Source organism: Homo sapiens, chromosome 18 (assembly GCF_000001405.40).
Source record: "Homo sapiens chromosome 18, GRCh38.p14 Primary Assembly".
Lineage (NCBI taxonomy): Eukaryota > Metazoa > Chordata > Mammalia > Primates > Hominidae > Homo > Homo sapiens.
In genome coordinates this window covers 31,870,683-31,894,051 of record NC_000018.10, presented here as the reverse complement: position 1 = coordinate 31,894,051, position 23,369 = coordinate 31,870,683, and the positions used below count along the sequence as shown (strand labels likewise).

At 38.3% G+C, this 23,369-nt stretch overlaps 1 protein-coding gene and 1 pseudogene across 12 annotated transcripts in view; one reads left to right on the top strand and one right to left on the bottom strand.

Annotated features, from left to right (window-relative positions):
* TRAPPC8 (trafficking protein particle complex subunit 8) overlaps window positions 1-23,369 on the top strand; it is a 113,932-nt gene that overhangs the window by 49,077 nt on the left and 41,486 nt on the right. For all 12 annotated transcript variants that reach the window (XM_017025616.3, NM_014939.5, XM_005258234.4 and 9 more), the window contains 4 exons: window positions 3,186-3,317; window positions 19,348-19,572; window positions 20,514-20,622; window positions 22,932-23,126. In XM_017025616.3, coding sequence (XP_016881105.1) covers window positions 3,186-3,317; window positions 19,348-19,572; window positions 20,514-20,622; window positions 22,932-23,126 — 661 coding nt within the window. The remainder of the gene's footprint in view (window positions 1-3,185; window positions 3,318-19,347; window positions 19,573-20,513; window positions 20,623-22,931; window positions 23,127-23,369) is intronic.
* On the bottom strand, window positions 10,179-10,792 carry LOC100421591 (family with sequence similarity 76 member A pseudogene; annotated as a pseudogene).

Here is a 23,369-nt window from a genome sequence, read left to right as displayed (position 1 = left end):
AGTGTTAAATTTGGGAATGCTAAGGGTTTCTCATTTTGGTTTTTAACTGGATTGTGCGTTAGAATCATTTGCAAACCATTAAATATTCTCAGGGGATATTCTTAGCTTATGAGAATGTCCAGGATTGCTGCCCATCCAGGTTTTGCAGTTTAGTGAAGCTTCATAGGCAGTAAAAAAGTGTGTGTGTGTATATTATTTTATTTTATTTTTTCGTGTGTGTGTATGTATGCATGCATATGTGCAGTGTGCTAAGAATAGACTTAAGAAATTACAGCACTTAAAAAACTGAACTCTGTTGAGGCCTAAGTGAAATTCTGAAATAGAAACAATAATTAGGGAGAATTACCTATTTTAGATATTAAAATATGGCTATTAAAATATAAGGCTACAGAAAGTAAAACTCTATACAGTGATAAGAATAGACATATTAATGGGCTGGAATGAGAATTTAAATACTGCATATGATTAAGGTATCATTTAAAATCAGTGGAGAAAGTTAACTTACTCACAAAATGGTATTGTGATATCTAACCAGCTGTTTGGGTTGGAATCTTAGCTTATTCATTGTGTTTTAATATATTATGGCTTGATTAAGCTATAATAAAAAATGAAACCAGGGTAACACACACACAGGCACACGCGCGCGCGCACACACACACACACACACACACCTAGAAGCAAATACTAGGAGAGCACTTTTTAAAGTCCTGGAATGATAACATCCTTTCTTAGTTTGATGTAATATCTTGACACTATAAAGGCAAAGAGAGTGTGCTTCCCTGCAAAAGAATAAACTCTTTCATGTCAAAACTGGAAAATACTATTTGCAAAATATATCACAAAGGACCAATATTAAGAGCATACAAGGGCTCTTACAAAGCAGAAAATCGCAACAAACCATTCACAAAAGAGCATAAACAGGCAATTCATAGGAAAATTACAAAATCCCCTAAACATATGAAAAGATTAACAGTCCTACAATGAAATGTATGTTAAGGAACAAGATGTTGTTTTTTTTTTTTTTTCCCTTTTTTTGAGACAAGGCGTCATTCGTTCACCAAGGCTGGAGTGCAGTGGTGCATTCATGGCTCACTGCAGCCGCAGCCTCCCAGGCTCAGGTGATTCTCCTGCCTCAGCCTCCCAAGTAGCTAGGACCACAGACACTCACCATCATGCCCAGCTAATTTTTGTAGAGACAGGGGTCTCTTTTTGTTGCCCAGGCTGGTCTTGAACGCTTTGGCTCAAAACGATCCCCCACCTTCGGCTCCCAAAGTTCTGGAATTACAGGTGTGAGCTCCCGGGTGTCATTTTTATTTTATTAGCTAAAAATTTTAAAGATTTTTGGCTGAGTAGAGTGGAACACATATACTCTTATTCTTTGTTGATGAGAGTATGTATTGGTGCTACTTTTTTTGTAGCAGTTTGGCTATATTGATTAGAATCTGAAGTAGTATATGCATAGCTTTCATTAACTCCACAGTTCTACTTCCAGAAATTTCTCTATTAAAAATATTTGAATAATTATTCAAATGTTTCTATAAGGATAGTTATCAAATCATTTTATGTAGTAACAAAATATGAAACAATCGGTAATTTAGGGTACATTTATATAATGGAAGACAGTGTAGCTTTAAAATAAATGAGACAGATGTAGATGTCTTAGAAAGATGTCCATTACATAAGTGAAAAAAGCAAGGTACTCCATATAAATACCACTTACGTATCAAAATATATGTGTATTTTTAAAAATGCATATGTATTAGGCATGTAAACACATGCACATACATATATAGGAGGGGTGACATGACACAACACTATTAAGCTGTAAAGAATAGTTACTCTGGCAAATGACATGAAGCATGGGCTAGGAAAGATGTTCACTTTTTTCTTCAAACATGTATTCTTTTTAAAAAAATTAGTTTGTATTAATAATTTCTAAAAAGAAAACATTTTTCTAAAAAATAAAATAGGCTCCCAAGCTCCCCTAAGTATTTCTGACACAAACCCGTTTTTAAGAACCACTCATTAATTACATATTTCTGACTTTTTTACTTACTAGCTTTTGGATCTTAATTACTAGAGCAATCATCTAATCATTTAGTTTTTGTCAGGAGGAGGATGAAATAGATAATAGCTGCCATTTACTGAATGCTTTCTAGATGATTTCCTCGAGTCTGTTTCAGCTCTAGTATAATTCTATGATTGACGCAGAGACAGTTTATGCTAATCAATGGTCTGTGAACACTTTTGATGTAACTATAATTTGTTGAGATTATCGCATTTAAAGTCAATGTTTTCTGTTTTCAACTTTCCCTGGGGAAAATAATGGCAGCAGAACACATGGAAGGGCATGGTAAGTTCAGCTTGAGAACAGCTAAAAACCTGGAGAAAGTTTTGGTGAAAATGTTGTTGATATTTAATCAGCAACCTTCAGTACTTTCTCAGTTATCTGTAAAGTGATGACTCTTTCAGTCAAAAGATTTGTCTTAAGGGCAGTGACGTAATGTAGTATGTGGTTTTGTAGATGCTGTACTGTAAGATTCAGTTGAAGTGGAAACTTACTTGAGTTGTATTCTTTATTAATGTAATAATAGGTGAAAAGAAAATCTTTGAAGTAGAAGCATTGTGAACTTTTTAATGAAATGCAGTCGATTTGGCCCTCTAGAATTATAGCAAAAGTTGAGGATTCCTTTAAATGCAGTAAAATTTTACAGAGAATGAAATAGTAGATTAGAATATTTCATAATCTATGTACATGTTTTCTTGGGTGGATGAAAATATGCCAACAAGTCAATTTTCAGAGGAAATTCGATTGGTGTAAATGTTTTCTGGTTTATTTTTTATCGGTATACCTGTATTAAATTTGTAGTTTACATACTTTTTTGCCATTTGAGAAAGGATTGCAATTATTCACAGATTTGGTACATGGCACATATCATAACCAGACATGTGGCTTTTATGAAAAGCTAAGTATTTCATGGTAGAAGATGTTTTCAAAGCTTAAAAGAATTTTGTGTTTATTGGAAAAATCAAGATTGGTTTTCCCCTTGATCTTTGCCCTCATATACTCTTAAGTTAAACATTGGATATGCTATATATTAAGAAATTAAATGTTTTTTTCACTAGTTATCTATTTACTTTTAACTTGGTGAAACTAACCTTTTTCTCTTTTAAACATTCACTAGGATTCTGATCTTCGAAGTGCACTTCTTTTGGAACAGGCAGCACATTGCTTTATAAACATGAAAAGTCCCATGGTTAGAAAATATGCATTTCATATGATATTGGCAGGCCATCGATTTAGTAAAGCAGGGCAGGTGAGTGCATTTGCTTTACAATGAAAAGTTGCTATTTATTTTATAAATGTGTGTCATTTGTCCATTTTTATTATTTAAAAAGGATCTTAAAAACTAAATTTTGTTCTGAGGTAATGTATTGGTAAGGGCGTGAGATTTGGATTTAGACAAATCTGGCTATAAATTTTGATCTTCTACTCACAACTTTGGTCAAGCTACTTCTCTGAGCCTCGGGGTTTTTTTATTTATAAAATTTGTAATTTTATCCAAATTTTGGTTAGGTTAAACTAAATCACATTTGTGAAAGGCCAGATAGATTGTATGCATTCAAGCAGGAATGCATTCTCCCTATTTCAGCTGTGATCTTCTGTTCTCTTTCAAAGTACTTTTTAAAAAAATCCTGCTCTTTCTGTTTCAGAGTGCTTTATAATGCTATTGACTAAATACTTAATGTATAGACATCTTCTGTCTGTTGTCTCTTGAAGCAGCTGAGTTGCTGGGATCTTTACTGATGTAGAGAGATTTATCCGGCCCCAGTTGTCCTAGAACCATTAGTCGGAGAGAGCTAGCTTTCTTGGAGGCTGAGAGTAGCAGTAGGGAGATGATGATTTACTATAAATATAAATGGAAACTTGGATTAAACAACCATCTCTATATTTCAGAGAGTATACTAGGAGCTGAACATTCACCCATAAAGTCAACATGGTCTTACGTCTTAAGGAGCTTTTGATCTATTAGGGGCATATGAGGATCTTTTAAAGATTTAGTTAATATGAATTTACTAAGTATGAAATGTAACTATGAACATCCTTAATTTTTCTAAGTCTGTGCTAACCAAAGCATCCCAGTGTTTTACACAATGTACATTATTTCAAAGGTACAAAGAAGTAAAGATGTTCAGAAATTACTCTCAATTTCATGTAAAAATATTGTAATTTTTTAAAACCAACATTTCAAAATTGGGTTCCTTCCTCTTATTTTTGGAACCTGTGGAAAGTTAGAAAATATGTGGACTTGCTTAATGTTCATTAAAAAACCTTTCAAATCTTAATATAAAATTAAACGTCTTTATAATAATTGATACACTCCATGAATTAGAATTTCTCAGGCTCTAACATGAGAAAAACTTAAAGAAATAACTATTACTACTTTTCATGGCTTTTCTTCAATAGTAAATGCAAGTGCATCTGAAACATGTTACGCCACTGTGTATCTCTGGTTAAAAGGTTTCTGTTCAAAAAATGACAAAATGTATTAAGCAGGAGGTTTCCTTTGCTTGAAAGAAAATATATGTCCCATTAGGAATGGTCTATTGTCTCCTATTGAAAATAAGTCGTCATTTTTCTACATCTTTGTCCACTTTTGTGAATGGTTTCATTTGTGAGAATGGTAATGTCATTGGAACTAGAAACAGCTGCTTGTATCTGCCTTCCCAGATTATAGAGCATATTGCTTCTAGGAAATACCTAACAAGTTAAAAATGCTACCTTTGTGGTAGGTTGAGATACATTTGCTATCTGGCTTCGTAATCACCTCTTACTGTAGTATATAACCCTGTGAAGTTAATGATTCAGGGTAGCTGAGTTTGCTATTTCATGACCACTCTGTACACCCTGAACCCAAGACAGCTCTTTCACAAAACAGTACAGTTTGTGGAAATCTGAGAATATGACTATAAATTAAGATCTACTAGATAAGCCAATACAATATATATCTAATTGAAGTTCATCAAGAACAGTCTCTTCCTTGGAAGTTAGGGTGCATAGAACACATATAATTCTGACTTGAGGCCTAGTTGTTTCTGAGAAGCACCAATTTTTTATTATTTAAAAAAAACTTTTAAGGTCCAGTGTACATGTGCAGGATGTGCAGGTTTGTTACATAGGTAAACGTGTGCCATGGTGGTTTGCTGCACCCATCAACACATCACCTAGGTATTAAGCCCAGCATTCATTAACTCTTTTTCCTGATGCTTTCCCTCTCCCACCCTACCCCTCAACAGGCCCCAGTGTGTGTTGGACTGTGTCCATGTGTTCTCATTGTTTAGCTCCCACTTACAAGTGAGAACATGCGGTGTTCAGTTTTCTCTTCCTGTGTTAGTTTGCTGAGGATAATGGCTTCCAGCTTCCTCCATGTCCCTGCAAAGGACATGATCTCTTTCCTTTTTATGGCTGCATAGTATTCCATTGTGTGTATGTATGTACCACATTTTCTTTATTCATTCTATCATTGATGGGCATTTGGGTTGATTCCATGTCTCTGCTATTGTGAATAGTGCTGCAGTGAACATATGTGTGCCATAAAACAGAATTCTCCTGCCTCAGCCTCCCGAGTAGCTGGGATTACAGGCATGCATCACCATGCTCGGCTAATACTGTATTTTTAGTAGAGATGAGGTTTCTCCATGTTGGTCAGGCTAGTCTTGAATTCCCAACCTCAGGTGGTCCACCTTCCTCAGCCTCCCAGAGTGCTGGGATTACAGGCGTGAGCCACCATGCCCAGCTTTGACTTTTTAATAATCACCATTCTGACTGCCATGAAATGGTATCTCATTGTGGTTTTGATTTGCGTTTCTCTAATGATCAGTGATGTTGAGCATTCTTTTTTTTCATATGTTTTTTGGCTACATAAATGTCTTCTTTTGAGAAGTGTCTGTTCATGTTCTTTGCCTACTTTTTGGTTGGCTCTCTGCTTGTCTGTTGTTGATGTGTAGGAACGCTTGTGATTTTTGCACATTGATTTTGTATCCTGAGATTTTGCTGAAGTTGCTTATCAGCTTAAGAAGGTTTTGGGCTGAGACAGTGGGGTTTTCTAGACACAGGATCATGTCATTTGCAGACAAAGACAATTTGACTTCCTCTCTTCGTATTTGAATACCCTTTATTTCTTTCTCTTGCTTGATTGCCCTGGCCAGAACGTCCAATACTATGTTGAATAGCAGTGGTGAGAGAGGGCATCCTTGTCTTGTGCTGGTATAGCAGTGATGAGAGAGGGCATCCTTGTCTTGTGCTGGTTTTCAGGGGGAATACTTCCACCTTTTGTCCATGCAGTATGATATTGGCTGTGGGTTTGTCGTAAATGGCTCTTACTATTTTTTTTTTTTTTTTTTGAGATGGAGTTTCGCTCCTGTTGCCCAGGCTGGAGTGCAATGGCGTGATCTCGGCTCACTGCAACCTCTGCCTCCTGGGTTCAAGCAATTGTCCTGCCTCAGCCTTCCAAGTAGCTGGGGTTACAGGCACCTGCCATCACACCCGGGTAATTTTTTGTATTTTTAGTAGAGATGGGGTTTCACCACGTTGGCCAGGCTGGTCTTGAACTCCTGACCTCAGGTGATCCGTCCGCCTTGGCCTCCCAAGTGCTGGGATTACAGGCGTGAGTCACCACGCCCAGCCAGCTCTTACTATTTTGAGGTATGTTCCTTTGATACCCAGTTTATTGAGAGTTTTTAACATGAAGAGATGTTGAATTTTGTCAAAAATGTTTTCTGCATCTATTGAGATAATCATGTGGTTTTTCTCTTTAGTTCTGTTTATGTGATACATTACCTTTATTGATTTGCATATGTTGAACCAGCCTTGCATCCTAGGGATGACGCCAGCTTGATTGTGGTGGATAAGCTTTTTGATGACAAGCACCAACTTTTCATGACATTTGAATTTAAAACAGGGTTGTATTGGTAGGGATGAGTGAGAATGAGAGAAGAAGTTATAGAGTAATGCCGTTTCTCTTAGTCCTCTATTTGAGAATTCATGCTGAATTGCTTATCTTGCCCCAGAAGTGTGTGTGTGTGTGTGTCACCCAGGCTGGAGTGCAGTGGTGCAATCTCAGCTCACTGCAACCTCCACCTCCCGGGTTCAAGTGATTCTCCTGCCTCGGCCTCCTGAGTAGCTGGGACTACGGGTACGTGCCACCACTCCTGGCTACTTTTTGTGTTTTTAGTAGAGACGTGGTTTCACCATGTTGGCCAAGCTGGTCTCAAACTCCTGACCTCGTGATCCGCTCGCCTCAGCCTCCCAAAGTACTGAGATTACAGGCATGAGCCATTGCGCTCGGCACCCCCAGAAGTTGTTTATAGTTCAATTATTTTTCATTAAGAATATCAGAAAGTAAAGTGCATTTTAAAAAGAAGTGGCATGAAAGTAGTCAGTAAAAAAACAAAAAACGCTGGGGAAGAGTGTATGTGATTAGACAACCTTTGTGTTCTTACTATAAAAAGCTGACTCAAACCTTTTTACCTCATTTAAATTTCTTTTCCAAAAAAATCTTTAAAAATCCACTTGAACACATTCGAAAATCCACTTGAACACACAAGACACATTCAACTCTTTTTCTATATCTATCAGTTTTTAATACTGTGTTCCTTTACTAAATGCTAAAGATAGGGTTGCCTTTTTTTTTTTTTTTTTTTTTCCTCAAGAAACATCACTTAAAAATTAATTTGGAAACAGGCTGGGCGTATTGGCTCACACCTGTAATCCCAGCACTTTGAGAGGCCAAGGTGGGCTGATCACCTGAGGTCAGGAGTTCGAGACCAGTCTGACCAACATGGAGAAACCCCATCTCTACTAAAAATACGAAAAAAATTAGCCAGGCATGGTGGCGCATGCCTGTAATCCCAGCTACTCGGGAGACTGAGGCAGGAGAATTGCTTGAACCCGGGAGGTGGAGGTTGCAGTGACCCAAGATTGCACCATTGCACTCCAGCCTGGGCAACAAGAGCAAAACTCCATCTCAAAATAATAATAATAATAATTTGGAAACAATCTCAAGTTTATAGAAAAGTTGCAAGCGCCGTTCAGAAATTTTTCTTTTTGCCATTTGAGTGTTAAGTGGTTTATCTCTTGCCGTATTATCCTCAAATACCTTAGGACATATTTCTTATTTTTCGTTTTTTTGAGATGGAGTTTTGCTCTTGTTGCCCAGGCTGGAGTGCAATGGCGCGATCTCGGCTCACTGCAACCTCCGCCTCCCAGGTTCAAGCAATTCTTCCACCTCAGCCTCCCGAGTAGCTGGGATTACGGGCATGCACCACGCCTGGCTAATTTTTTTTTGTATTTTTAGTAGAGACAGGGTTTCTCCATGTTGGTCAGGTTGGTCTCGAACTCCTGACCTCAGGTGATCTGCCCACCTCGGCTTCCCAAAGTGCTGGGATTACAGGAGTGAGCCACCGTGCCCGGCCCATATTTCTTATTTTCTAGAAACAAGAACTTTCCCTTACATAACCATAGCATAACCATCAAAGTAAAAAAAAATTGGCATTGATACAGAGCTACTGTGTAATCCTCAGACCCCATTCAGATTTTGACAGTCATCTCATGCATGTCCTTTATCAAAGGGCATAGGATGTTTTATCCTTTTTTAGTCAAAGGATCGTTTGACTTCATGACTTAAACACTCGTGAAGGTTACAGTCCAATTATTTTTGTAGATTGTCCCAAGTTACATGTCTCTGCTATTTTCATGATGAGATTCAAATTCGGTATGTTTGTAGGAATATACAGAAGACATCCTGTGTTCTCATTTCATGCCGTCCAGTGGCAGACTATTTTTATTTATCGCTTAATCAATAAAGTATTTCTTTTTTAAAAAAACTTAATTTTGGCTGGGTACGGTGGCTCACGCCTATAATCCCAGCACTTTGGGAGGCCGACGCAGGCGGATCACGAGGTCAGGAGATCGAGACCATCCTGGCTAACACGGTGAAACCCCGTCTCTACTAAAAATCCAAAAAAAAAATTAGCCGGGCGTGGTGGCGGGTGCCTATAGTCCCAGCTACTCGGGAGGCTGAGGCAGGAGAATGGCGTGAACCTGGGAGGCGGAGCTTGCAGTGAGCTGATATCGCGCCACTGCACTCCAGCCTGGGCTACACAGTGAGGCTCCATCTCAAAAAAAAAAAAAAAAACTTAATTTTTTTAAGAAATGGAGTCTCACTGTGTTGCCCAGCGTGGTCTCAAACTCCTGGCTTCAAGAGATCATCCCACCTTGGCCCCCCAAAGTGCTGGGATTGCAGCCATGAGCTACAACACCCAGCCAAGAAAATATTTCTTTAAAAAACCCCCTCAAAGACAATTCTGACAATACTGTAAGGCACGTGTGGAGGACAGTGGAAACTAGTATATTTTGAAACAAAAGTTTAGTGAAAAAAAAGCCTTTTCTTGGTACCAAATCCCATTTTTTAGGATGGAGGTTGTCTGAGTTCAGAGAGTGGCAGTGATAAGTAATTTCAAATAGCTGCTTATGCTTGTGATAGGGTGCAGCAATAGCCAGAAGAAAAGAATACCAAACTCTATCACTACAGAACAAACCAGTTGTGTAAAAATGTGCATACATCATAAATATATACACACACATAAATACACACACATTCACTATATGCTCACATGCAGTTTTAGCACACGCTGGTATTTCCATTCAGGCCAGTGCAGTGGTATAAAGAGGGATGACCACATCAAAATTAAATTTCATAAAATAGCTTCTAGTTACAAGATAATAACAAAGCCTCTAACTCTATCCATGTCTCCATATGCTAATGCTCTGGAAACTCCCATCTGGTTTTGTTTTTGTTTTTTTGGCAGAGTTTCACTCTTTTGCCCAGGCTACAGTGAAGTGGCTCCATCTCGGCTCATTGCAACCTCTGCCTCCCAGGTTCAAGCGATTCTTCTGCCTCAGCCTCTCGAGTAGCTGGGATTACAGGTGTCTGCCACCAAGCCCAGCTAATTTTTGTATTTTTAATAGAGATGGGGTTTCACCATGTTGGACAGGCTGGTCTTGAACTCCTGACCTCAGGCGATCCACCTGCCTCAGCCTCCCAAAGTGCTAGGATTACAGGTGTAAGTCACCACGCTCGACCTCCCAACTGGTTTTTCACAGTCATTATTATTACTGAGTTCATATACTTCTTGCCTTTGAACAAAGCAGATGCTTGCTTGTTTCAGGACTTCCTCTTGGTTTTTAAACTGCAGCTCTAAAAACTTTTAGATTTTTAGAACTGTTACCACTTTTGGGTTTCTTCTGTCTGGTTAATTTGTCTCTATTTGAGATACCTGTTATTAAAAATCAGCCTTCAACTTTGCAGTCCTCTTTTCTTTTTTGAAAACATTTGATCCTTTTGATGTAGCATCTTCTTCAGTGTTCACTTCTTTCATTAGTTGGGCAGTGATGGCCAAATGGTTAGTACCTGGTGAGTTCAGAGCCAGATCTGGAGGAAAGCTATCCCCATGAATTGTGATTGACTGGAACTTGGACCTTTTTCTTTGGAAATTTATTTTGATGTAGAGATGTGGGAAGTCTTCTAGCTGTTACAGTGGGTGCTACCCACTCTACTGTCTATCTTCTTTTTGTGGTGGCTGACATTGGATAACTGCTTTGGTGTTTTTGCTGCTTTTTTGGTTTTCTACAGGGTGTACTTTTATAGTGTGTTTGGTCAGCATCAATTTCCCATCCCTTCTTTTTTGGTCATCTTTTCTGTCAGACATACTGCTGCTGGCACTGAGAGGTGGTCTGTACCTCTCTCTTTTTTTTTTTTTTTTTTTCTGAGATGAAGTCTTTCTCTGTCACCCAGGCTGGAGTGCAGTGGCACGATCTCGGCTCACTGCAACCTCTGCCTCCTGGGTTCAAGTGATTCTCCTGCCTCAGCCTCCCAGTTAGCTGAGATTACAGGCGCACGCTACCACGCCTTGCTAATTTTTGTATTTTTAATAGAGATGGGGTTTCACCATGTTGGCCAGGCTGGTCTCGAACTCCTGAACTCGTGATCCACCCACCTCAGCCTCCCAAAGTACTGGGATTACAGGTGTGAGCCACTGCGCCTGGCTGTACCTCTTTTAAAACAGTAATTACAGAGGCCAGGCATGGTGGCTCATGCGTGTAATCCCAGTACTTTGGGTGGCTGAGGTGGGTGGACCACGAGTTCAGGAGTTCGAGACCAGCCTGGCCAACATAGTGGAATCCCATCTCTATTAAAAATACAAAAATTAGCCAGGCGTGATAGCATGCGTCTGTAATCCCAGCTACTTGGGAGGCTGAGGCAGGAGAATCGCTTGAACCCAGGAGGCAGAGGTTGCAGTAGGCCGAGATCGTGCCACTTCACTCCAACCTGAGCGACAGAGCGAGACTCTGTCTCGAAAAAAATAAAAATAAAAATAATTACAAATTCAGGAGGTCCATGTCTGTGTTTGCTGCATGAGTATATTGTGTAATGCTGTGATTTGGGCTTCAGAGAACTAACCCATCACCCAAATAGTGAATATATTATCCAGTAGGTTGTTTTTCAACCCTCACTTCCTTCCCTTCCTCTTTCTCCCCTTTTGGTGTGCCCAGTGTCTATTATTTCCTCTTTATGTCCGTGCATGCCCATTGTTTAGCTCCCACTTATAAGTGAGAGCATGCCTATTTGATTCTCCATTTCTGATTTATTTCACTTATGATAATGGCCTCTACCTCCATCCATGTTGCTGCAAAGGATATGATACCATTCTTTTTTATGGCCGTGTCATATTCCATGGTGTGTATGTACCACATTTTCTTTATACAGTCCACCATTGATGAGCACCATAGGTTGATTCCATGTTTTTACTACTGTGAATAGTGCTGTGATGAACATAAGAATACAGGTGTCTTTTTGGTAGAACAATTTACTTTTCTTTGGGTACATACCTAGTAATGGGATTACTGGGTTGAATGGTAGTTCTCTTTTATCTGTTGGAGAAACCTCCAAATTCCTTTCCACACTGGCTGAACTAACTTACATTCCCACCAACAGTGTATAACTGTTCTGTTTTCTCCATAGCCTTTTAAAATAGCCATTCTAAACTGGTATGAGATGGTATCTCATTGTTTCGATTTACATTTCTCTAATGATTAGTGATGTTCAGTATTTTTTCATATTTTTCATGGCTGCCTGTGTATCTTTTGAGAAGTACCTTACGTCCTTTGCCCATTTTTTAATGGGATTATTTGATTTTTTTTCTTGATTTAAGTTACTTTTAGATTCTGGATATTAGTCCTTTGTCGGATGTGTAGTTTGCAAGTATTTTCTCAGATTTTGGACGTTATTTATTCTGCTAATAGTTTCTTTTGCTGTGCAGAAGCTTTTTGGTTTAATTAGGTACCAGTTGTCAATTTTTGTTTTTGTTGGCATTGCTTTTGAGGACTTGCTCATAAATTTTTTGCCAAGGGTGATGTCCAGAAGGGTATTTCCTGGGTTTTCTTCTAGGATTTTTTTATACTTTGAGGTCTTATCTTTAAGTCTTTAATCCATCTCCAGTTAATTTTTTGCATATGGTGATAGGTAGGGGTCTAGTTTCATTCTTCTGTATATGGTTAGCCCAGTTATCCCAGCACCATTTATTGAATAGGGAGTCCTTTTCCCCATTGCTTAGTTTTGTAGACTTTGTTAAAGATCTGTTGGTTGCAGGTATGCTGCTTTATTTCTGAGTTCTGTATTCTATTCCATTGTTCATGTGTCTATTTTTTGTACCAGTACCATGCTGTTTTGGTTACTATAGCCTTGTAGTGTAGTTTGAAGTTGGGGAATGTGATGCCTCGGGCTTTGTTTTTGCTTAGGACTTTGTTGGCTACTCAGGCTCTTTTTTGGTTCCATATGAATTTTAGAATAGTTTTTTCTAATTCTGTGGAAAATGACATTATTTATTTGATAGATAGTTTGTTGAATCTGTAGATTGCTTTGGGCAATATAGTTATTTTAACTATATTGATTTTTCCTTATCTGTGAGCGTGGGTTTTTTTTGTTCTTTTGTTTGTGTCTGTACTTTCTTTTATCAGTGTTTTGTAGTTCTCTTTTACCTCCTTGGTTAAATGTATTCCAGGTATTTTATTTTGTGTGTGTGTGGCAGTTGTAAATGGGATTGAGTTCTTACTTGGTTCTCATCCTGAGTTTTATGACTGTATAGAAACACAACTGATTTTTGTGCATTAAATTTGTATCATGAAACTGCTGAAGTCATTTATCCTAATGACTACTGTCTTTAGGAGGAATCTTTAGGTTTTCTAGGTATAGGATCTTGTCATCATTGAACAAAGATCATTTCACTTCCTCTTTTCCTATTTGGATGCTTTTTCTTCTTTCTCTTGCGTGATTGCTGTGGCTAGGACTTCTAGTACTATGTTGAATAGAAGTGGTGTGAGTGCAGAGTGTACATCCTTGTCTTGTTCCCCTTCTTAGGGGGAATGCTTTCAACTTTTCCCCATTCAATATGATTTTGGCTGTGAGTTTGTCATATATGGGTCTTATTATTTTTAGGTATGTTTCTTACAGTGCTTAGTTTGTTAAGAGCTTTTATCATGAAGGGATTTTGGACTTTATTGAATGCTTTTTCTGTATCTATTGAGATGATCATATGGTTTTTAATTCTCTTTATGTGGTGAGTAACATTTATTGGTTTGCAAATATTGAACCATCCTTGTATTTCTGGAATAAAACCCACTGGATTGTGATTAATTTGACTTTTTGATGTCCAGCTGGATTTGGTTTGCTAGTATTTTATTGATGGTTTTTGCATCTGTGTTCATCATGGGTATTGACTTGTTTTCTTTTTGTGTGTATGTCCTTGCCAGATTTTGATATCAGGATGATATTAGTTAAGGAGGAATCTTTCTTCCTTAAAAAAAAAAAAATATATATATATATATATATATATATATATATTTTTTTTTTCAATAGTTTCAGTAAAATTGGTACCAGCTCTTCTTTGTGCATATGGTAGAATTTGGCTTTGAATCCAGCTATCTTGGGCTTCATTTGGTTGTTTATTTATTTTTTTTTTTAATTACTGATGGAATTTTGTAACTACTTAATGACCTATTCAAGATTTGAGTTTCTTCCTTGTTCAGTCTTGGGAGATTGTATGATTCTGGGAATTAACCCATTTCCTCTAGGTTTTCTAGTTTGTGTGCATAGAGGTTCATAGTATTCTCTGAGGACCTTTTGTATTTCTGTGGTATCAGTTGTGATGTCACCTTTGTCATATCTGATTGTGCTTATTAAAATCATCTCTTCTTTTTCTTGCTTAATCTTGCCTAGTAGTCTCATCAATTTTGTTTGTGTTTTCAAATAACTTTATTTTGTTGATTCTTTGTATGATTTCTTTGGTCTCAATTTCATTTAAAGAATAAAGATCTGCTCTGATCTTTATTTCTTTTCTTTTGCCAGCTTGGGCTTGGTTTGTTCTTGTTTCTGTTTCCTCTAGATGTGACATTATTAATTTGAGATCTGTCTTTTTGATATAAGCATTTAGTGCTGTAAACTTTCCTCTTAACACTGCTTTTGCTGTATCCAAGAGGTATTGATATGTTGTGTTTCTGTGTTCATTTGTTTCAAAATTTTTTTAAATTTCTGCCTTAATTTCATTGTTTACCCTAAAGTCATTCAATACCAAGTTGCTTAGTTTCCATGTACTCGTATGGTTTTGAGCGTTCCTCCTGGTATTGATTTCTAATTTTATTCCACTGTGGTCTGAGAAGATCCTTGATATGATTTTGACTTTTTAAAATTTTTTGAGACTTGCTTTGTGACCCAGTATATGGTCAACTTCAGAGAATGTTCCATGCACAGATAAGAAAAATGTATATCCTGTAGTTGTCAGTTGGAATCTTCTGTAGACGTCTATTAGGTCCATTTGGTCAAAAGTCCGATTTAATTCCAGAGTTTCTTTGTTAGTTTTCTTCCTCGATGATCTGTCTAGTGTTGTCAGTGGGGTGTTGAAGTCCCCCAGTATTACTGTATGGCTGCTTGTCTTGTCTTCAGTCTAGTAGTATTTGTTTTATAAATTTGGATGCTCTGGTATTGAGTGTGTATATGTTTAGGCTAGTTAAATCTTCTTGTTGAATTGAACTCTTTATCATTATATAATTCCCTTCTTTGTCTTTTTTTTTATGTTGTTGGTTTAAAGTCCATTTTATTTGATAACAAGAATAACAACCCCTGCTCTTTTTTGTTTTCCATTTGCGTGATTGATCTTTCTCCACCCCTTGACTTTGAGCCTGTGGATCTCGTTACACAGAAGATAGGTCTCTTGTAGATAGCATATGCTTGGATCTTGTCTTTTGAGTAGAACAATTAAGCTATTTTTGTTCAAAGTTAATATTGATAAGTGAGGTTTTGTATTTGTCATAATGTTGTTAGTTGCTTTGTAGTCCCAATTGTATAACTGCCTTATAGGATCTTTGAACTTTGTACTTACGTGTATCTTTATGGTTAGCAGGTATCATCCTTTTGTTTCCGTGTTTAGAACTCCTTTGAGCATTTCTTGTAGAGCTGGTCGGGTGGTGACAAATTTCTTTAGCATTTTCTTGTCTGAGAAATACTATTTTTTCCTTCAATTATGAAGCTTAGTTTGGCAGGCTGTAAAATTCTTGGCTAGTAGTTTTTTTGTTTTTGTTTTTATTTGTCATTAAAAAGGGTAAAAACAGGCCCCAAATCTCTTTTTGTTGGTAAGGTTTCTTCTGAGAAGTCTGTTGTTAGTCTGATAATATTTACTTTATAGATTATTTGATCCTTTTTGGGATGGGGTGCACCAGTTGCTCATCCTGAGCAGACAGAAGCTTCCTTATCACGCCCCGGTCAGAGGGCTCACAACCATCAGTTCATGTAGACTTTGTCCATTAGGCTCTGACCAGAGTACACTTCCACCAAAACGGGCAGCTGCCACCAAAATGGGCTCAGGGCGGAACTTCTTCCTCTAGTACAGAGTAAACAGCTTTGCAGCTTGTCCACCTTCTGTTGCCCGGATGCTTCTCTGTAGGGAGGGGGAATTGGGCCTTGCCCTTCCTGCAAGCCCAGTTGGCATGGGGTCACTTTTTTTTTTTTTTTTTTTGAGACAGAGTTTTGCACTTGTTACCCAGGCTGGAGTGCAATGGTGCGATCTCGGCTCACTGCAATCTCTGCCTCCTGGATTCAAGCGATTCTCCTGCCTCAGCCTCCCGAGTAGCTGGGATTACAGGCACGCGCCACCACGCCTGGCTAATTTTGTATTTTTAGTAGAGACGGGGTTTCACCATGTTGGTCAGGCTGGTTTCAAACTCTCAACCTCAGGTGATCCACCCGCCTTGGCCTCCCAAAGTGCCTGGGATTATAGGCGTGAGCCACCGTGCCTGGCCATGGGCTCACTTTTTTTTTTTTTTTTTTTTGAGACGGAGTCTCCCTGTTGCCCAGGCTGGAATGCAGTGGCGCGATCTTGGCTCACTGCAGGCTCCGCCCCCCGGGGTTCATGCCATTCTCTTGCCTCAGCCTCCCGAGTAGGTGGGACTACAGGCGCCCGCCACCTCACCCCGGTAATGTTTTGTATTTTTAGTAGAGACGGGGTTTCACCGTGTTAGCCAGGATGGTCTCGATCTCCTGACCTTGTGATCTGCCTGCCTCGGCCTCCCAAAGTGCTGGGATTACAGGTGTGAGCCACCGCGCCCGGCCAGGCTCACTTTTAGCTGTGATGGAGCCACCACAAAAAGCATGAAAAGTGCTTTCCCCAAGGACACGTCTGCCAGCTCCCAGCAGGGAGAACCTCTCCTGTGTTCACAACAGTGGATGGGGTGGGCGGGAAATGATCCCCTCTTCATGTTCATTTCCAGCCGCTGGGGCTGCCCACTTCAGCGATTGTTGCTTGCTTGCATTACCTTTGTCTCAAGGTGGGGCTTTGGCAGGCTACTGTCCCCCCTTCCCCTAGGGGCAGCCTAAATTAACGGTTACATCTCCATGGGTCTCACACCTTCTCTGGGGACCCACTGGTCTCCTAAACTTGCTAATGTCACAGCAGTTGTGAATATGTTAGGGATCTGGTGGTGCGGTGGTGACTCAAGAGCAGAGATTTCCTGGGCAGGGCAGTGGTATCTCCTGTCTCAGTTCAGGCCTGAAAGGAGGGCGGGCATGCCTGTGTGAGCTGGCCACCCACATCCTTGTCCCTGGGACGTTCTCAAACTGCCACTGTTAGTGTTGTCCTGCATCATGAGGGCAGAGGGACTCCCCATCAGTTGGATGGTGAACAGATGGTCAGAGGGGTGAGGGCAGCAGAGAAGTACTCCCACTTACCCTTTCCATGGGGTTTTGTGTTCCTCAGCACTCGATCCCTGCCAAACTCTTGTTGTTTTTCTTTCCTGCACTCTAGTTTCTTTCCATGGGTTCTTCATCATATCCTGGCTGTCTTTTCTCAGTTTTCTGTTTGGATAATTAGTTACTTTGATCTTTCTGAGGAGAACTGGCATCTGAGGATCTGAGGTCCCTAGTAAGTGATCTTTTTTTTTTTTTTTTTTTTTTTGAGATGGAGTCTCGCAGTGTAGCCCAGGCTGGAGTGCAGTGGCACAATCTTGGCTTACTGTAAGCTCCGCCTCCTAGGTTTATGCCATTCTCTTGCCTCAGCCTCCTGAGTAGCTGGGACTTCAGGCGCCCGCCACCATGCCCGGCTAATTTTTTGTATTTTTAGTAGAGACAGTGTTTCACCATGATAGCCAGGATGGTCTCAATCTCCTGACCTCATGATCTGCCCGCCTCAGCCTTCCAAAGTGCTGGGATTACAGGCGTGAGCCACCCCTCCCGGCTGTAAGCGATCTTGAAGAAAATACTCTCCTTTTAAAAAAATTGATACATAATAAACATACATAGTTTGGGGTATAATACGTGATAATTTCATACATTCATATAATTTATAAAGATCAAGTCAGTGAACTTGGGATATCCATCACCTTAGAACCATTCAAATTCTCTATTTTGAAATGTAGAGTAGATGGTTGTAAACTATAGTCACCCTGCTGATCTGTCTAACGCTAGGTCTTATTTCTTCTATCAAACCATGTATTTGTACCCATTAATCAACTTCATTCTCTATCACCCACTCTCCCTGGCCTTTGGTAACCACCAGTCCACTCTCTATTTTCATGAAATCCACTGTTTTAGCTCCCACATATGAGTGAGAACATGCAGGATCTGTCTTTCTGTGTACCTCTTTTGATTTTTTACATTGATGATGTTTATTGCCACAAATATTGCATTCTTATTGCAATACTTGTAAGATTTTGGCATTCCTTGCAATTTTCCATTTTGAACACACATCTTGTATATCATTCTGGTATATTATTAATCTCTTGCTCTTCTTAAGTCCTGCAGTAAATGCACTGAATACCAGGAAGTATGCCCTGACACTTGCCAACAGCACCTTGAAAAGGAGGCTGTGGTAGCACCTGATGCTGGCAGAGAACCCCGTCATGTCTTGCCCAGGCAGTGTTTACTGTGCTGCTGTCCTAGCCCACTGCTTTATTTGAACCGTGTGAGGCATAACCTTTCAGTGGTCACAACACTGGCCAGTGAGTTCTGGCAGGCAGGCAGGCAGGCAGGCAGGCTGGGATCAGCATGGTTGGTCCAGTATGTGAATTTTTAATATAGAAAAAAAAAGTTTATTTATATATTATTATATATACTACTATATATATTATTATATATTATTTGTACTGTGGAAAACTGTGGCATATGTGGCCACATACATTCAATGTAAGTCTCTGATCGTAGGCAAGAAAAAACTTTGATAAATGTGTTTATTGTTTTACTTAATATGGAGAAACTCTTTGTAGACATAGCATGCTTCTAGTTAAAGTATGAGAACATTTTTTTCATCATCATATTAGTGAAATCTGACCATTTTAAATGTTGAAGTTTGTTTACATATCCCTTGCCTTTTTCCAGAAAGAATTTAAGGTAGATAAAGTCAAGTTGAGAAGTAAGCTCTTTCCTCTGAAGTTGACGTTTTGAAATTGTGGCTCAGAGAAGTAGTGGGTAAATGTCAAAGCAGTCTGGCCTCCCTTTTCTTCCTTTAGGTACCCTACTCCTATCTAACGCACACACACAATGGCTCAGGTAACTTTATCTATATCATTCCATATATAATTGTGAAGGGATTATCATAAATGTTAGTTTTATTTTCTTCATTATCCCAGTCCCCCTTAGAGGAAGAACCAGTTACTTAATTGTTTCTATGTGTGTGTTTGTATTTGTTTTTTCTAGTTCAAACAAATTTGGAGTATAATACATTATTTTGTTTATTTTCTTACAGAAAAAGCATGCTTTACGCTGTTATTGTCAAGCCATGCAAGTTTACAAAGGAAAAGGCTGGTCTCTTGCAGAGGATCACATTAATTTCACTATTGGGCGCCAGTCCTATACTCTTAGACAGCTGGATAATGCTGTGTCTGCTTTTAGGCATATTCTAATTAATGAAAGTAAACAATCTGCTGCTCAACAGGGGGCTTTCCTCAGAGAATATCTTTATGTTTACAAGGTGACTGCTTATTTTCATTCAGGAATAGATATTAAAACTGTATTTTAGTGTGAAAGTATTTATTTATTACCATATCTTACGATAGTTTTATTAGAATATATGTAGTTATCAGTCATAAAAAAGCTGTGGCAGGCTAGGCTTTTTGGCTATAGATCTTGGTTACATTGCCCCTTCCACAGTTCTTGAAAAGAGAATTTTAATATTACAATGAACACTTGATTTGTGGCTGTTCTTAGAATCTTAAAAAAAAAAAAGATTCCACAGGTTTTCTGGATTCTTTATTCATCATGCTTTTATAGACTCACAACTGATTTTACAGTTGGTTTTAAGTGGGTTCTCTTTACCATCCTTTGGAGATGGACATTCTATGTTCTTTTCCTTGTGAAAGATGAGGGGGTATGGATCTGTGGAAAGTAGACAGGCTATTATGGTGCAATGGAGAAAAATTAACAGGAAGAAGGACTGTTTCACTGAGGCAAGCAGATAAACATATAAAGCATTGTTTTATGGAAAAAATGGGAAGTTGTAAATTTTTTCCCAAGGCCTATGAATAGTGCATATTATATCTATCGTGCAGAAAATAACTACCTTTAGGGTCTAGACTTTATTAATTTGAAATTATATGGGTTAGAATTTTGGCAGATAGGATGCTATAATGAGTCATAAGAAGTAAAACGCTTACTAAAATAAGTTTTGCATATTTAACATCCAGGTAATTAGCTGAGTAACCTCAGTAAGATTCTTTTGAGGCAGAATAAATATCTGAAGTGCTTCTGAGTTGTAAAATTTTATGACTGATATGAGAAATAAAACTAGTAATTACATATCTTAATATTCTTGCTTAACATATTTTTAATGCCTTGTGTATTAAGAAACGAGGAAACAAATAAAAATACCATTTTCACAAAAACTACTTTTTTTCCCTTTTATATTTCTCTCAGAATGTAAGTCAGCTGTCACCAGATGGTCCTTTGCCACAGCTTCCTTTACCGTATATTAACAGTTCAGCAACACGGGTTTTTTTTGGCCATGACAGACGACCAGCGGATGGTTAGTAAAGTTTTATTTAGCCTAATTACCTAATGACAATTTAAAAAAAACTTCTTTTCCTTTCTCCATTTAAAAAACGATGTATAGTTGAATATTTGAAAATTAATAGCTCAGCCGGGTACGATTGGCTCATGCCTGTAATCCCAGCACTTTGGGAGGCTGAGGCCGGCAGATCATGAGGTCAGGAGATCGAGACCATCCTGGCTAACATGGTGAAACCCCATCTCTACTAAAAATACAAAAAATTAGCTGGGCGTGGTGGCACATGCTTGTAGTCCCATCAACTCAAGAGGCTGAGGTAGGAGAATGGCGTGAACCCGGGAGGCGGAGGTTGCAGTGAGCTGAGATCACGACACTGCACTCCAGCCTGGGCGACAGAGTGAAACTTTGTCTCAAAAAAAAAAAAAAAAAAAAAAAAAAAAGGAAAATGAATAGCTCTCTATTACTTCTTTTGTCCTGTCACCTGAAGATAACTACTATTTTGGTGTTTCTCTTTCCAGCTTTAAAAACTAAAAACAATGAAATGAAAACAAAACAGTTGTAATTACAACAGCTTTTCTCACTTAAAGAATGCTTTTGTTATTATATAATCTTCATAAACGTTTAATGTTAGTAAAATATTCTATTCAGTGCTTATAAAGTACTTTATTTTAACATCCACTTGATATATATAGACTGTTTCCATCTTTTGCTTATATAAAATTATATTGTGGCCGGGTGTGGTGGCTCACACCTGTAATCCCAGCACTTTGGGAGGCCAAGACGGGCAGATCATGAGGTCAAGAGATTGAGACCATCCTGGCCAACATGGTGAAACCCTGTCTCTACTAAAAATACAAAAAACTAGCTGGGCGTGGTGGCATGCGCCTGTAGTCCCAGCTACTCGGGAGGCTGAATCAGGAGAATCGCTTGAACCCAGGAGGCGGAGGTTGCAGTAGCCGAGATCTCGCCACTGCGCTCCAGCAAGACTGTCTCAAAAAAAAAAAATCGTATTGTGATGGACATCTTTGTAGATAAAATTTGTTTTTTAAATGTCTTATGGAAATTTTCAAATGTACATAGAAGTAAAGAACAGTTACCAATGTTCTGCTGTTCTTGTAAGACTTTTTTTTAAATGCAGGATGATTTATTTAGGATTGAACCCTAGAATGGCAATAATGGAACAAAAGTATAAATATATTAAGCTCTTCATTATCTTACATTAAATAACTCAGAAACAGAAAGTCAAATACTACATGCTCCCATCGATAACTGGGGTTGGAGCTAAATAATGTGTACACATAGACATTGAGACTTGGGAGGGTAGGGAATGAAGGATGAGAAATTACTTATGGGTACAATGTATACTATTTGGGTGATGGCTACACGAAAAGCCCAGACTTTGCCACCAAGAAAATATGTCTGTATAACAAAACATAACTTGTACCCCCTAAATCTATACAAATATATTTTATATAAATGCATATATTTTAAAGCTCTCGATGGCTGTTAAACTTTGTCATTCTAAACATTCTTATATTTGAATTTAATCAACGTTTCTCCTTGAGATACGATTTAGTATTTTTTTTTTAAATTGTCATATTCATAGTAGCATTGTTTGTAGTAGCAAAAGAGTGAAAGAAATAGAATTCCTAATAGAGGATTAATTGATATGGTTTTGTATATTCACATAATGGATTCATGCTGCAGTACATGAGAATTCATGCTAATTCTACATTTCCCACAACTTGATGCTGAGTGAAGAGTCAATTACAGTATAAGTTTCAAACATAAAAACTAATTTTATGCATTTTTTAGATATACTTATGTGGTAAAATCATGGATGAAAATGATACACTTTAACTTTGGAATACCTCTGGGAAGAAGTGATGCCAGTGGGGGCGAAGGAGAGTAATAAGATTGGGGGTGGTGCAGAGAGGACATCGACTCTATCTGTGATGTTTTTTTTTTATTAAAAATATTTGGGATCATAGGTGAAAGTTGACATTTGTTAAATTTTAGTATACAAATATTTGTTATATTAGTCTCCATGCCTTTTCTGTATATTTGAAATGTTTTATATAAAAATTGCTTGTGGACACGAGGGAAAATACATTCTTTCAGAGTCAGGAGGAAAAGAACATCAGTATTATAAGCAAAATCCAGATAAGCTAGGATTAATGAGAGGATATTTTTCACTCAGAATTAGAAATAGGCAAGAGTGAATGTATATATATATATTTTTTTATTTCTGTACCTTATGTCTATTTAAAATATGTTTTATTTGAGGGCAAGTCTTCATAAACGTGTTGTTAACAAATTTTTTTTAGGTGAAAAACAAGCAGCTACTCATGTAAGTCTTGATCAAGAATATGATTCTGAATCCTCTCAGCAGTGGCGAGAACTTGAGGAACAAGTTGTTTCTGTGGTTAACAAAGGAGTAATTCCATCCAATTTTCATCCCACACAATACTGTTTGAACAGTTACTCAGATAATTCAAGATTTCCACTTGCAGTTGTAGAAGGTGATATACTTGAATTTTTATTTCTGTTTTTTATTTGTTTTACTTACAGCATGATGAAGATAATTTATTGTTTGGCACACATAATTGGTGCTGGGGATGCAAAAATAAATTAGGAACTCATAATTTACTGAGCTGCATTTATAAAACCAGACAAGGGGGACTCTTCTACAGCTATTTGCAATGTGATGTTGGAATATACAAGAGGGAATGGCATTCTTTAGTACAGAGAAATTGGGGAAATCT